This window comes from Homo sapiens, chromosome X (assembly GCF_000001405.40).
Source record: "Homo sapiens chromosome X, GRCh38.p14 Primary Assembly".
Lineage (NCBI taxonomy): Eukaryota > Metazoa > Chordata > Mammalia > Primates > Hominidae > Homo > Homo sapiens.
In genome coordinates, this window is record NC_000023.11 from 141590929 (window position 1) to 141607738 (window position 16810).

Genomic DNA, 16810 nt, shown 5'->3' on the forward strand with positions numbered 1-16810 from the left:
GATTCCTAAAGAAAATTTTCTTCTTAAAATTTTATCTCACAGGAAGTGGAGATGTGTATATGTTCACGCAACTGTACCCGGCAGCACATAGTTCTGCTGAATGGACATATCAAAGGTATTCCCATCCCCTTTCCATTTGATATTTTCCTAGGCTAGAAATAGATGCTTTATAAAGAGCAAATGTTCTGTAAAACACAAAGCACAATACAAAAGAAGATAGTAGATGTAGGAGTAAGTAAACGGCAGGAAAGCATTGCTTGTGATGAAATGATTGAAAAGCCAATTCTAAAACAAAATGTTCAATGCATCTTAAATATTTGTTAGTGTTTTAATGACCTCAGCAGTCTTTAATCAAGATAAGTATACTTTAGAAATGTGTTGATATCCGCAAAGGGTGAATATTCAAAATCGCCATGACTTGGGAAAAGGAAAGTAAAACACTCTTAAGTATGAGGAGCTTTTTCCCATGGAATGTGAACTGCAAGGTGGTGAGAAGGGTTAGGTGTGATGTGGTGAGATCATTTTTAGGAGAGTGTGTCTATTATCGGCTTCCTAACACTTCCATTTTGCATGATAATTTCCTGAAAGTCATCATTTAATTAAGGCTATAGATTTTGATTACCATGTGTCTTAAAATGTCAAACAGTATAATATTTATACTGAAAAAGAAAACTGCTTGGTGGATACACATCGGTTAGCGGGAAAAGACACCACAGGGATTCACCATGGAGTCACCCGTGGATGGGGTTTTAGTTTCTGTCTTTGAATTGACCTTCACATAGTGTCTACCTCTTGAGAGTTCAGGGGTGTTGGAGAGATCATTAGGTAAAACAAGAAGGTCTTCTCAGGATACATGAGGGAGTTAAATAGAAATGCAGGAGCAATTACAATTTTAGTTATTTGTAACTGTTGTTTGCTAAGTCATAACACTGTCATGGATAACATGAAAAAATAAAATATACTAAATATCAATAGACAAAAACCAGTTTGCTTTTCTCCAACCAAATACCTAAATACCTAGCACTGATTTCCGGAACAAAATCCCACACGTACCATCTTTGGAATAAAAGAATATTCTTTCAAGTTGTCGGACCACAAGGTAAAAACAAAAAATCCCAATGCTTTTTTTCTTACTCTTTGATATGTACAATTGAAGGTATTCCTCATTGCAAACTACTATTTCCACCCAGCACGAGACATTAAAGAATTTTTCATATTTAGGATAGTAATACGGGATCACATTCTTTAGCCTTAGGCATTGCAGAGGAAAAACAAACAAAACCAAACCAAAACTAAGCTGAGAGAGGCGGAGCAAGAAAAGCAGAATAGAAGGCTGCCCAGATCAGCCCCCTCGCAAGGACACAAATTTAACAACGATCCACACAGTAGAAAACACCTCCATAAGAACCCAAAATCAGGGGAACTCTCATAGTACCTGGCGGTATCACTGAAAGAGGCACTGAAGAGTTAGAAGAAACAGTCTTAAATCGCTGACCCCACCCCTTCCCTATCCTAGGCAGTGGCAGTATGGTGTAAAGAGCATCTCTGGAAGCTGGACGAGCAAGAGCAGAGCAGTTGTGGGTCGCTGACCTCGGTGCTGTCTCTTACAGGAGAAAGGAAAACCAGACCAAACTTAGCTGACTCCCATCTGGGAAGGGAGCATTGAAACCACCTCTAGCCAGAGGGAAATTACCCATCCCAGGAATCAGAACTTGAGTTTCTGCAAACCTTGCCACCAAGGGCTAAGAAACGGTTCCAGGTTTCTCAGACAACCTTAAAGGCAGTCTAGGCCATAAGATCTCTAACTCGTAGGTGAGTTCTAGCATAGAATTGGGCCCAGAGGCAGTGGATTGTGGCGGGTATGTGGAGGGGTGCACATGACCTCCTGAGATACCAGCTGGGGCAGCCAAGTGAGTGCTGGTGTCACCCCTGCCCTAGCCCCAGACTGCCCAGCTAGCGGCTCCATAAAAGACCCCCTCCTTCCACTTGAGGAGATGGAATAGTGAGGAGCGTTTTTTTTCTTGCATCTTGAATACCAGCTCAACTACAGCGGGACAGGGCACCGGTCGGGGTTGTGAAGCCCCTGCTCCAGGCACTCGCTCCTGGATAACATTTCTAGACACACCCTAGGCCAGAAAGAAACCTGCTGCCTTGAAAGAAATGAAAAGAGAACACCTATACACTGTTTATGGGAATGTAACTTAGTTCAGCCATTGTAGAAAGCAGTTTGGTGATTTCTGCAAGAACTTAGAAATACCATTCATCTCAGCAATCACATTACTGGATATATACCCAAAGGATATATATCATTCTACCATTAAGACATACGCATGCGTATGTTCTTCACAGCACTATTCACAATAGCAAAGATTTTGAATCAACCTAAAGGCCCATCAGCAGCAGACTGGATAAAGACAATGTGGTACATAAACAGCACGGAATACTATGCAGCCATAAAAAAACGAGATCATGTCTTTTGCAGCAACATGGATGGAGCTGGAGGCCATTACTCTAAGCGAACTCACGTGGGAACAGAAAATGGAATACCACCTTTTTCCATTTATAAGCAAGAGCTAAACATCGGTATACATGGACACAAAGAAGGGAACAACAGACACCCGTGTCTACTTGGGGGTAAAGGATGGGGAGGAGGGTGAGGGTTGAAAAGCTACCTATCAGCTATTATGCTGATTACCTGGGTGATGAAATAATGTGTACACCAAACCCATGTGACACGCAACTTCCCTTTATAACGAGCCTGCACATGTACCCCTGAACCTAACATAAAAGTTAACAAAAATTTAAAAATAAAATAATAAAAAATTAAGAAGTCTCACAGAGGTAGAGCGTAGAATGGTGGTGACTAGGGGCTCGGTGGTGGTGGCTGGAAAGACATTGCTCAAAGGATACCAAATTTCTGTTAGACTGAAGGAATAAGCTGCAGAGATACATTGTACGACACGGTGACTACAGGTGATCATAATATGTTGTATTATTGATAAATGCTAAGAGAGTAGATGGTAAGTGTTCTCAATACAAAATGATAACTTTGTGGGATGATGCATATGTTAATTAGCTATATTTATTCATTCTACAATGTATATACTTCAAACATTAGATACATGATAGACACATTCCATTTTATCTGTTCAGTTTAAAATAATAAAAATAAAGAAGAAAGACATGTCCAAGTGTTCTGCCTGGGAAGATGGGCCTGAGAGAGTCTTACATAGTTAATCATGTACTATGTTTTTCTGTGCAGGACAGCAGAGGGAGAGGGGCTACCTGAGAGCAGCACATAGTCACTAAATGGCCTATAACAGCTCTACTTCCTTTCTTGAAGAATCAGAATGGTGAAAGAAACCAGTTTGATGTTTCTCATGCCCCTAAGAAGGACACTAAAGTGTTTTAAAGAGAGTTGGATCTGAAGGTGCCCTGTGGTTGGGCTTGAGGGATGACATGAAAATGTTCTGCATGAATCAGCCATTTAGGGCCAGATGGGATGATACGCATCTCAGGAGATGTTCGATGGATACAACATTGGGAAATTCTGAGATTCTGAATTGATTAAGTGTGAGACTCATGCATATTAAGTGCAATTACATAAAATGGCATTGCATTTCTCATTCGGCCAAGCATTGTAACCAGGTATATTCATGTGCCAGCTGTTTCAATAAAAAGTGGTATCTCTCACAACCATTTGCATTCCAATACAATTTTCTGAATGTAAGAGAAAGAGATATAGTTATAACCAAGGTGTTCATCAATGAGAATAGTTTGCATCTCATCTTCTCTATTCTGCAGAAAGGCCCTTGAAGAGCATATTGCATCATTTTCTTCATGGCCAAGAAAATCAAGAATCACTGATCTGGCCAGGTGCAGTGGCTCATGCCTGTAATCCCAGCACTTTGGGAGGCCGAGGCGGGCGGATCACCCGAGGTCAGGAATTTGAGACGAACCTGGCCAACATGGTGAAACCCTGTCTCTGCTAAAATACAAAAAAAAAATTAGCTGGGCGTGGTGGCGGGCGCCTGTAATCCCAGCTACTGGGGAGGCTGAGGCAGGAGAATTGCTTGAATCCAGGCAGTGGAGGTTGCAGTGAGCCGAGATCGTGCCACTGCACTCCGGCTTGGGTGACAGAGCCAGACTGTCTCAAAACAACAAAAACAAAAACAAGAAATCACCGATCCATTTGAAAGTCAGCAAATATTTTGTCATTGACTAAATATAGACCCTAGAGAGTGATCCCCATACACCACACTACAACTTAAGACTGATTCTATTTCTTAAGCATCCTTTGGAGGTCATCACGTTTTTGAACTCTTGTAATAACAGGGGACTTGAACTCATTTCAGACAGCAAACCTCGTCCTGTGTTATCTTATGCTCTGGGAGGAATCTAAAAGACAAGGAAGTAAGGAAGAAAGAAAGGAAGGAAGGGAGGGAGGAAGGAAGGGAGGGAGGGAGGGAGGGAGGGAGGGAGGGAGGAAAGGAGAAGAGGAGAGAAGAGAGGAGACGAGCTTAAACCCAAATTGGTAGAAAGCTTCACAAGTCTGAATACTTAACAAGTTAAATTAAGTAGCTAAAGATGTTTTTGAAAATCATCTGAGCAAACAAAAAATGATTCTGAAAAATATTTGGTAATGTAATAATGACAATGGGTTATTTCTTCTATCCTTGATCTCCTACAAATATATTTTAAGCCAGATCATGTTTTTCCTTTGATGAAAACTCCACAGAGTTTTCATCTTCATGAAAATAAAATCCAAATTCCTAATAAGGCCGTACATGATGTGGGCACCTATTACCTCTCTGACATTAATACTTATTCTTCTCATGAATCACTCTGCTTCTATCACACTCCCCAATCTGTGACTCTTGTAACTCACCATGCATGTGATTCCTCTAACCTGCCATCCATATCACGGTCTTTGCATACTTCTGCCTGGAAGCTTCTTCTCTAAAATATCCACTATGTATCCTAATTTTCTTTTCTTTTCTTTTTCTTTCCTTTTTTTTTTTTTTGAGATGGAGCCTTGCTTTGTCGGCTAGCCTGGAGTGCAGTGGTGCACTCTCGGCTCTCTGCAACCTCCACCTCCTGGTTTCAAGCAATTCTCCTGCCTCAGCCTCCTGAGTAGCTGCGATTACAGGCGCCTGCTACCACGGCTGACTAATGTTTGTCGTTTTAGTATAGATGGGGTTTCATTGGTTGGCCAGGCTGGTCTTGAACTCCTGACCTCGTGATCCGCCTGCCTTCGCCTCCCAAAGTGCTGAGATTACAATCGTGAGCCACCACGCCCGGCCTGTGTATCCGAATTTTCTTAAGGTCACTAGTCAGAAGTCACTTTATTGGAAAGGCTATCCTCCATTTAATGGTGAAGACATTAAATGGTACTTGTACTTCTTTCCAAAAAAATGATACTTTTATCAGTTATTTTACTACAGTACCTGGAACATGTAAACTTGCAAGCAATATTTGGTGAATGAAATATTTGGTTAACCTGAATTTAGTATTGCAGTCTTCATTACTAGAAAGCATTTACATGTTTTAACTGTCAGGGAGCAACACTGGTAAGTTATTAATTCCCTATCAATAAAATGGATAGAGTACTATTCATGCTACATGTTCTCACAGTTGTGGCAAGGGTTATTAAATTGCCAACTGTAGTACTAAACTTATATTAATGTTGTACTCATTAGTATTACTCTTGTTATGTTCAGAGGAAATATGGAATAAAAGTAAGATCATGGGCCTGGTTCAAATCTGAAATTCTGCTACGTCCTAGTCGGGTGATGTAGGTCAAGTTTCTTAACTCCTCTGAGTCTTAGATTCTTCGTATGAAAAATGGAAAAAATGCTAGCACCTACTTCTCAGGATTGTTTTGAAAAACAAATTAATTAATATATTTAAGCTTTTAGCACAGAGCCTAGTACATAGTGTATGTTCAGTAATTACAAACTATTACTAGTGAGTATAATAGGATGTGAAAATTCATGACATCAAACAACTAGAACCGAGATTTATATATATACACACACACACACACGCAGACATATGTGTACACACACACACACACACACACACACACACATTTTTTTTTGCAACAGAGTCTAGCTCTGTCGCCCAGGCTGGAGTGCAGTGGCGTGATCTCGGCTCACTGCAACCTCTGTCTCCCGGGTTCAAGCAATTCTTCTGTCTCAGCCTCCTGAGCAGCTGGGACTACAGGTGCGTGCCACCATGCCCGGGTAATTTTTTGTATTTTTAGTAGAGATGGGGTTTCACCATGTTAGCTAGGATGGTCTTGATCTCCTGACCGTGTGATCCACCTGCCTCACCCTCCCAAAGTGCTGGGATTACAGTGTGAGCCACCACGTCTGGCCAGATTTTTGCAATAGAGAAAGCATTGGACATCATTTTATCATAGAATATTAAAGCTGGAAGAGACCATAGGATCATAGGAACCCACAGTCTCTTGCAAGAATCCAGGTCTCCAAACTCAGAAACATGCTGATTGTTCCTTCCTGAAAATGCACATTCGGCATGGCATAGCTTTTGCAATCAGTGACGATACCAAGGCATCAGGGGCTAGAGGCTTAGGACATCACTGACAAAGCAGGAGTATTGCCATCTTGAACAAGCTCTGTCATTTTAAAATTCACCTTAATCAAAAACCGCCAAAATCCAAACGGCATCAGCCTAATGGCTAAGGTCAGCATGACCATAAACCGCAAATAACATCTCCAACCAGAAACATTCCAGACTCCTCCCCGACCAGAGACAAGCTAGCCCCAAGATAACCCCACCCTGGCCAGGAAGATGCCAGCCCCAAGATAACCTCCTCCCCTCCACCCAGAGGCGTGGTCTCGGCTCACTGCAACCTCTGCCTCCTGGGTTCAAGCCATTCTCCTGTCTCAGCCTGCCAAGTAGCTGGGACTACAGGCGCTTGCCTCCGCACCTGGCTAATTTTTGTATTTTTAGTAGAGACAGGGTTTCACTATGTTGGCCCAGCTGGTCTCGGAACTCCTGACCTCAAGATCCGCCCACCTCGGCCTCCCAAAGTGCTGGGATTACAGGCGTGAGCCACCGTGCCCAGCCGCGTTCATGTTTTGCTCTTCATAAATTTTGTTTTCCTGGAAAAGGTTTTTTCCTGGTCGACTAAATTACTTTTTCTCCACTCTGTCTTGCCACTCTTGGTGCATGTATGAAAGACCCTGAAATGACTCCTGGTGGCCTGGGACTCCTTGGGAAAACAAAAAAGGTGCCACAAATCCCGTTTTGGGAAAAACCTCTGTTTTCCTTATGAAACCCCTAGACTTAAAGATAAATAAGTACCTCTCAAAGATCTGTCTTTGTCTTCCAACTGTACTTGTTCATTAGGCCCTAGAAACTGCTTTCTTAGCCCTGTTCTTAAAAGGCCTCACCCGAAGGCCAATAATCCAATTGGAAAATTAGCAGAAAAAAAATCTCATAACTACTCAATCTTCTTCTGATTGTCTGTGTGGCTATATATGTTTTATGTGTGCGATGTCTATTAAAAGAACTCTAATTAACTGGCCAAAAAAATAAGCACTTAAATCAAATATTTTTAAGGGAAAAGTAAAAGCTGTGGGACCTTTCAGTTCTCGTAATTTTAATCTTTAGAACTTACCGGTACAGCAAAGTTAAAAGTTGAGTTGAAAGTCGTTAAGAGGTGCCAGCGTACGTTTTTATTTGCATTTATTAATCAAGCAATTTCATACTTATGGCTGCAAAATACTATAAGGTGTCAACATTTGGCACAGAGGCTACAAAACGACAACTCAGCCCAAACAAAATAATCTTTGCTTGTGTAATTTTTTCAATAAATAAAGCATGAATATTGGTTTAACGAAGATAGCTATATCTTTAACTATTTAGTAAAATATGCTAACTTCTAACCTTGTGGCCTTAGGCAGTCTAGTCCACAGACATGAAGGAAATTTGTTTTGGGAAAGAACTGTTATCATCTTTAATATTAAAGAAAAGATAATTGGTATAAGAAAGAATCTCACATGGTAAATTTTTGTCCTAAAGTAAATTAACTGTTGTTTAAAAAAAGGGATGACTTTACAACAAGTCAGAAAGGTAAGGCATGTCAGAAATTGTCTGTGAAAGTCGTGAAGAATTTTATAAAAGGGAATTTGTGCAAGAAATGTCGCACAATTTAAAAGTAATTCGGCCTCCTGAATGCTGTATACAATTTCACTCTAACTCTTAGCTGTACAGCTTGCCTGCTTTGCAGCTGAATAAACCCTAGGACACATGGAGTTAAATGCTGGAATAAGCCAGACCTTCTTCGCACTTCCGTCTGGGTCCTAGGCCCTACACCTAGTGCGTAATTAGATTCCCAGACTTACCAAGGTTTTCATCAAAAGTAAAGGTTGCTAAAAGTTAGCAGTGTAACACGTATTTAAAACTACCGAAGAAATAGTTTATGAGCAAGGTGTGTAAGGAAAGTAAAATATACTTTTGGTAAAAAGATTATAAGGAGGCCTAAGAATGTGGATTTTTGCCTACATTAAAAGGTTAAAAAATTGTTTTAAAGGTTTAAGCAAGTTTTGGAAGGTTAATTGTAAAGAAAATTTCGTGTGTGTACATACTGGCTAAAGTTAAAGGGGTATCATTCAGGTTTTCTGTAAATCGAGCATTAAAATAAAAGCACAATGGGTTTCTGTTAAAGCACTAACCTGCTCTTTAACAAAAAGTATAAACGGTTAAAAAGGGTCTATAAAAACCTTACCTTCCGGTCAAACATGAACATTGGGTAAATGCGTCTACAAGGTTTTATGAAAAATGGAGCTTAACATTAATAGCACACTAATACAATGGTAAAATTTGGCTTATTTGATATAAAATCATACAGGAAGCATTGTCAAATATAAAATGGTATTTGGCTTTCTTTGGGCTATAGTTGTATAAATATGCTATTGGGATGTGTTCCAAAGTTATGGCAGATTCCTATCATTCTAATATATCTTAGTGTACGTTATCACTAATAATTATAATTGTTTTGTTAAAATTATTGTGTGCCACAGAGGTAACGGATATCTTTGTCAACTGTGTCTTTAACTATGGCTACCCTAAAACTTTTTGTCATCCATAAACAATTGTTGTCTTGTTTTAGTCCTCTTCAAAGGGTGGTTTTCTAATCAGCTATAAAGCTCTGATTGCAGGTTTCTGATAAAAAGCAGGACAGGAATTAACTGCATAAACCAAACTAATAGGAAACTAATCTGTTTAATGTTTTGCTTAAAATATTGCTATCCCTTTGTTTTACCTTTCAAAGTCAAAGAAACTTTTTTTAAGCGATTAACAGCTTTTAACTGTTAACTGCTAACTCCCATATGTATGGGAGTTAACTGTTCACTTTTAACTGTTTAACTTTTAACTGTTAACTCCCATCAACAAAATTTGGAGGATACTTGTTTCTCTCTACCTGATTCTCTCCAAAATTTGGAAACTATCTATGAGTATTCTTAAGTTATGGCAATATAGTTATTTGCATAAATACAACAAGAATCTGTTTTCTTTTGTAACGGGACACGATTGGAAAAACTGGTTATTCTTACCAAGGCTTTAACTGGAATGGTGTGCTTTTCCTTTAAGGAATCCAGCTTTAACTTATAAAGCCAATAAAGCCCTTGAAAAACTGGCCTCATATTTTGTGTACACAGTCCCCGTACAGGGTTTGTGATCTGTGGTAAACAGAACATGTCACTTTCTAACAGGCCAGGAACCCTAAGTTATCTTGAAACATCAAGAGGAGAGGAATTCACCCAACTCATAGGTATTTAATGGTACAAATCCATGGCTGGGCTTGGCTTTAAAAAGTCTTTTATCTCAGATTGCTTCTACAAAACCAAATTCCACCAAAGCCCATTTAAAAGGCCTATGTAACAAATAATTATTCTTGCAGCACTGTATGCAAATAAGTAAGCCAAGTATCCTAAAGCAAACCTACCATAATTTGTCTTTTAATAAAAATGGGAAAGTGGAGAGAGGAAATTATGTTTCCAAAACTATGACACCCCTCTTGTTAAATTCTAGAGTTGCCTGATGTTTTTCAGTTATTATTTGCTACTGTTTAAATTAAGTTCTAATTTTTCTGACTACAAGACTTCAAAATAAGCTGTGCTTTCTTAAAGCCCTATAAACTGGAAACTAGATGTTTCAGCAGGCACTGCCTCTAAGCCCCCTAACCCTCACAGGAGCAAATAAAGAAATAGGAAATCGTAAGCTAAAAATCATAAAAAATAAATAACCGAGAAAGAATTGCTCGTCTTACTCAGTCTCACCCCTACCTCACCAAACACTTTTGTCATTCCTATCTCTCCTTTCAAGCCAAATATTACAACTTTTTAATGGAAATTATTGACTACACCACCCTTGTGGAAACTGCTTTACTCACTCTACTATTTGCAGTAAAACTATATACTGTAGCACCCTCAGGGTAAAATGTCAGACAAAAACAATCTCAATTACTGTAGCATTTTGCTTAATTATTAGCCTCTTAGCAGGAATAACGCTTACTAACAGAAACTAACACATGGGCCTTTCCAAACATGTGCTTCTACCTCTCATTAGGTAAGGAATATTGTTTCTTTATCAACCAATCAGGCCTAGTAAAAAAACGCTGCTAAAACAAACATAAAGAAAAGGCTAAAAAGGTAAGGGAGTACCAAAACAACCAAATAAGTTCTTGGTTTGGGAACACAATCATAGCATGGGCCATCCTATTTCTGGGCCCTCTCCTAATAATATGCCTGGGGCTAATTTTCTTACCCTGCCTAATTAAGCTTTTTCAGAAAATTTTAACTAACAGGATCACGGCCATTTCACAGACAACTACCCAAAAACATCTACAGACGGCATTGCTCCTACTGTCAACCCAAAGCCAAAAAACTCTCCGTCCCCTCGTCAGCAGGAAGTAGCCAAAAAGAACACGCTGCCCCTTGTCCTTTTTATAACTATAGGGTCTGGATTGACAAAGCAGGAGTATCGCCATCTTGAACAAGCACTGTCATTTTAAAAGTCACCTTAATCGAAAACTGCCTAAATCCAAAGGGCATTAGCCTAATGGCTAAGGTCAGCATGAGCATTAACCACAAATAATATCTCCAATCGTAAATATTCCAAACTCCTCCGCGACCTGAGACATGCTGGCCCCAAGATTTAAATGTGCTGTCTGGCTTTTGGAGCAAAAAGCAGACACTGTTTTTTTCATAGTTTAAGTTCTAGGGTACACGTGTACAACGTGCAGGTTTGTTACATATGTATACATGTGACATGTTGGTGTTCTGCACCCATTAAGTCGTCATTTACATTAGGTATATCTCCTAATGCTGTCCCTGCCCCTGCTTCTACCCCACAACAGGTCCCGGTGTGTGATGTTCCCCACGCTGTGTCCAAGTGTTCTCATTGTTCAGTTCCCACCTATGAATGAGAACATGTGGTGTTTTGTTTTCTGTCCTTGTGATAGTTTGCTGAGAATGATGGTTTCCAGCTTCATCCATGTCCCTACAAAGGACATTAACTTATCATTTTTTATGGCTGCATAGTATTCCATGGTGTATGTGTGCCACATTTTCTTAATCCAGTCTATCATTGATGGACATTCGGGTTGGTTCCAAGTCTTTGCTATTGTGAATAGTGCTGCAATAAACATACGTGTGCATGTGTCTTTATAGCAGCATGATTTATAATCCTTTGGGTATATACCCAGTAATGGGATCGCTGAGTCAAATGAAATATAACTATGAGAAAGTAGTTATATTTCTAGTTCTAGATCCCTGAGGAATCGCCACACTGTCTTCCACAATGGTTGAACTAGTTTACAGTCCCACCAGCAGTGTAAAAGTGTTCCTATTTCTCTACATCCTTTCCAGCACCTGTTGTTTCCTGACTTTTGAATGATCGCCATTCTAACTGGTGTGAGATGGTGTCTCATTGTGGTTTTGGTTTGCATTTCTCTGATGGCCAGTGATGATGAGCATTTTTTCATGTGTCAAAAAGCAGAGACTTTTATAAGGTAAGGGAGAAATGAGCAAGGGGAGGGGTCCTCCCTGCTACTGGGCAGTTATCTACTGTGCAGTTGTCCAAGTGGACATGCTTTTGGCATATCTTCTCGAGGTGAAACCCTGGAGATGGGAGTTCCAAGGGGACATGCTTTGATCTGCAAATAGGCTGTAAACTCTCGAAGAGAGATCCAGAGCACCCAGATGAACTTGCGCTGCAGAGAATGTCTGATGAGGGAGAGGTGAGAGTTTATTTTGCATTTCAAAAAGCACTGAGTAGGAAGTAAAGGGAAAGGGCAAAAGAGAAAAGAAAGCCATTAAACTATCTCTTAGAAAAATGGGGGCACTTGGTTACAAAAAGAGTCAGAAAAGTTCTTATTTCTTAGTTTTCTTATTGTCAACACTTTTATTTTACACGCAGAGCGTCCACCATTTTCCCATAAGTATTATTTTTTTTCTTATGAATGTTGTACCTTGTATGAATTTTATATCCTACCTTGCAATTTAATTTGATTTGGCTCTCTTTTGGCCCAAACCTAGACTATAATCATTCAGCACTAGTAGTATGCATACCTTCATCGTATAATCCTCATCTAACCTTCATGTTTTCCATCATTTAAGAATAAGAACAAGATACAATATGTGCAATTAAATAAAGAAAACTATTTTCTTTGTTGTTGTTGTTCTAGCCAAAGGAGCCTGGGATTTTTCAATGATAGCAATTCAGATGACTTGTAGCTGCAAAGACTGACTCCAAACTTTTAATGTAAAAAAGTCTTTGAGGATATTTTTCTATCAAAACATCAGTGAATAAATTTCTGTGTAGAAGTCCATAATACCACCTAACTCTTTGATATCGTTTGAATAGACACTTGTACCATTCTCCCATAGGTAGACATTTGAAATGAGAATAAAACTTTGGCTCAGTGGAGAAATTTTATTATTCAAATTCAAGGTGATTTGATGATGAGATCGAAATGTACAGCATATTAATTTGGTTTCATCACAAAGTTATGTGAAAACCCAATGTTTCAACATTTTTTCATAAAAAAAGTGTCACCAAGTACAATATTGATGTTACTGTTCCTTTTTAATCATAGAGGTGGTTAATTAAAATACCAAATCGGAGTTTTCATTTTGGGTTACAAATGGGTTTCTGAAAATGTCCCGTATGTTTATGAGATCATTTAAAAAACCATACATATTTGAGTATAAACTTCTTCAACAATATGTATTGATTATCAATTATGTGGTACTCATTATGCTAGAAAATATGTATACAATGTTGAACAAAATAGACATGGTTCTCATACTTCTTATAATTGTTAAAATAGATATTAATAAGTCAATTACATAAGTATTTTATTATAATCTAAAACAAATTTTATTAAGGCCAAGAACATGATTACATGGAACACATTATAAAGGACCCTAACCTAGACTAGGGAGAAAGGTTGTCCAGGGGAAATTTTCTGCAGGATCGTTACTTGAGCTGAGACCGAGAATATCAGTAGGCTTTAATTAGGTAAAGGGCATAGATGTATGAGAACATGCCAGAAGAAAGCAGTATGTATAATAACTGTATAGCAGGAGAGACTGATACTTTAAAGGCACCAAAATCAGGCTAGAGGGACTGGAGTGTAGAGGGTGAGGATGAGAATGCTGCTAGACATCGCTGGAAAAGTATGGGGAAGTCATACCATACAGAGCCTTGTAGGTCATGTTAAGAATTTTAGTTATTTATTCATGAGAAGTGAGAAACTGATGACTTTTATGCATGCAGTTTGGCATGCTCAATTTTGTGTTTTGAAACACTCTGGTTGCAGGAGGGTAAGTAGATTGAAGTATCCAGAGTAGACGCAAGGAGATCAGTTAGGAGGTTATTTCAGTTGACTAAGGGAAAAATAATGGTAGCTTTAGTTAGACTTGTAACAATGGAGACAAAGGGAAAGACAGGTTAAAAAATTATCAAGGAGGGAACCTTGACAGACTTGATAATGGATTGGAAATGTGTGGCAAGAAAAAGTTTCAAGAATGACTGAGGTTTTTGAGTAGTACTACTTAATGGGAATGATACAGAGACGTTAAAGACTTCTGGATAGGACACTTCTATTTTAAAAAAAGGATCAGAATTCATTTGGAAACAGAGGTTATAGTATAAGGAAACCAAGACCGTTCCAAAATTCTACAAATAATTTATAGTCCACATATCTGCTGTACGAAAGGACTAAAATGTTGCTATCTTGTAAATGTCATGCATTGCCAAGTGAATTGTCTTGTAGGTTAAAATCGTTAATCATTATTAACCTATTTATTCATAAGTCACGTTGATTGCACTGTAGAAAAAAACTTTTTTTTTTGAGATGGAGTGTCGCTTTTTTTGCCCAGGCTGGAGTGCAGTGGCGCGATATGGCTCACCACAAGCTCCGCCTCCCAGGTTCAAGTGATTCTCCTGCCTCAGCCTCCCGAGTAGCTGGGATTACAGGCATACGCCACCACGCCCGGCTAATGTTGTGGTTTTAGTAGAGAAGGGGTTTCTCCATGTTGGTCAGGCTGGTCTTGAACTCCCGACCTCAGGTGATCTGCCCGCCTCGGCCTCCCAAAGTATTGGGATTACAGGCGTGAGCCACCGTGCCTGGCCACAAAACTTTTATATTTATCTCCTTTCCTCCATCTTCTTTCTTCTTTTGTTACATCTGTATCTTCCTTCATTTTCTTTCCTTTCTTCCTTCCTTCCATTTTTACTTCATTTTATCCTTCCTTCTTTCCTCTCTCTCTCTCTCCACATATTTATGGAGGATTTACTAGGAATCATGCATTATGCCAGGCACTAGAGAAAATATGGCAAATCAAATGTATTTGTTGTCTTCATGAAGTTTAAAATCTATCAGGGTAGACATTTTAAAACAGACAGTAAGAAAGAAAGATTTGATTATATCTGTGATAAGTAGCATATAGAACCTTGTAGGTCTAATAAATAAGTAAAATCGATAGGATGCAATGAGAGCTGTAACCAGCATGTTTGGTCACTTGGGTACAAAGAGAAGATGGCTACCTATGTATTGAAATAGCCCATTGGCTTTTGAACTGTGTTTCCTGAAGAAATAACAAAATGGACCATCATCTCCACAACAGGCCTTAACATGGAAAAAATATTTTGTGCTATAATTGTCAGCTCCTGTATTTTCTCTTTTCTGGAATGAGTAATTACAATTCTAGACAAAAGCTGGGATGCCTAAACTATGCTCTGGAATTTACTGAGATGTATAATGTTTCATTGTCATAATCCCTAAATAATCACCTGCTGGAAATGGCCCTGTTTTAGAAATAGTATCTTAATGTAATAGCATTGGGAGACTAGAATTGTCCCTTTGTTTTTGGTTATATTTTAAACCTTATAAGTTTATTATATTATGCATGTAAGCACTTAAAACTGTGATCTGTTATATTAAGTAAAGCCTTTTAGATCTTATTGCATCCATACCTGTGTATACAGTTGTTTTGCTTGAAAGAGGATAGCATAATTTGCCAGCTGACATGAACTTTATGTAGGAATGTTACCTTCTGATATAAGTGGACAAATCTTAATTAAGAAACATGGAGTGATCAGAGAGGGCCACTCAACATGTCTCAGCATTTTGCGTTTACCATCATCTGCCCTTTTAAGTCCCATCTGTGTTCTGTGGGGCCCAAGCACTCGAGAAAGCCGAGGCATTGGCTTAGCCTCCTTCACCTGAAATGCATTCATTGCTAAGTTCTCTGTGCACACGGCTTCCAGATTGTGCACTCACATCTGGACACAGAGGAGATCTGTTGCCCTGAGTGTAGAGGACAAAAGACCCACGACTCCACGACAAGCTCTCCCATCACATTCCTGGTGACCTCACCTAGACTCAGGCTTAAGCACCAAGGGATTGGACAGGTGGAGTCAGGCCTGTTTAGGACCTGTGGGCCACAGAAACACAGGTAGTTGGGATTGTTGGGCTGAGGTTGGAAGGCAGGGACAGAATAAAAATATGACTGTCTGAAGATGAGCCAAGTGGAAGCACTTCTAATACGTTTATTCCAGGAAGGAAGAAGCTGTCTAAAATCTGCATAAATAGAGTGACCCAGTTCAATGGTAGTCAATTAGAGGCCCTAATTGCAATGTCATCCCCAGCTCCACCCTGCTCCAGGTACCTTCTCCGGCCCTGACTGCATTTTTCATCCTGGCTCTGTGGGCCCCAATGTAACCTGCTGCCCCCTCAGCCCCGGCCAAAAACTCAGCCCCAATTACTTCCTTAGCTTTAGCTGCCTCTTGGCTTTAACCTCCTATTTGTCCCTTATCTTTCAGCTCTGTTTCCCACTCTGCCTCATTGACCCCAACTACCTTCTCAGGCCTGGCCCATTAGTGTCCAGTGGCCCCAGGCCCACAGGCCCTGTAGGCCTCAGCCACCCCAAGTGGAGGGAAGGACCCAATAAGCATTTTTGAAGTCAAGGAGAGAAGAAAAAAAAGAATTTCAATTTTTAACTTTTTTTGATCAACATACAATTGTTTCTTTGAATGCAGTCTTCTGTGCGACTGGACCTTGAGGCCAGAAGGTGACCTTTATATGGGTTATATAGTTTTATGCCCCAGGGTGAGGTGAAATCAGTGTCTTTGGGAAATACATTTTGTTCACTTTATGCTGTATACCTGCCTCATAGCCCAGAAACATTTCTCCCTTTCGTTCACACAGTTCTTGCAGCAATTTGAAGGGAATAAAATGGTGCCAGGAAAGTATCTTTAATTAGATGTA

General features: G+C 39.6%; 1 long non-coding RNA gene across 1 annotated transcript in view; it reads left to right on the top strand.

Annotated features, from left to right (window-relative positions):
• SPANXA2-OT1 (SPANXA2 overlapping transcript 1) overlaps positions 1-16810 on the top strand; it is a 147091-nt gene that overhangs the window by 88080 nt on the left and 42201 nt on the right. The window lies entirely within an intron of this gene.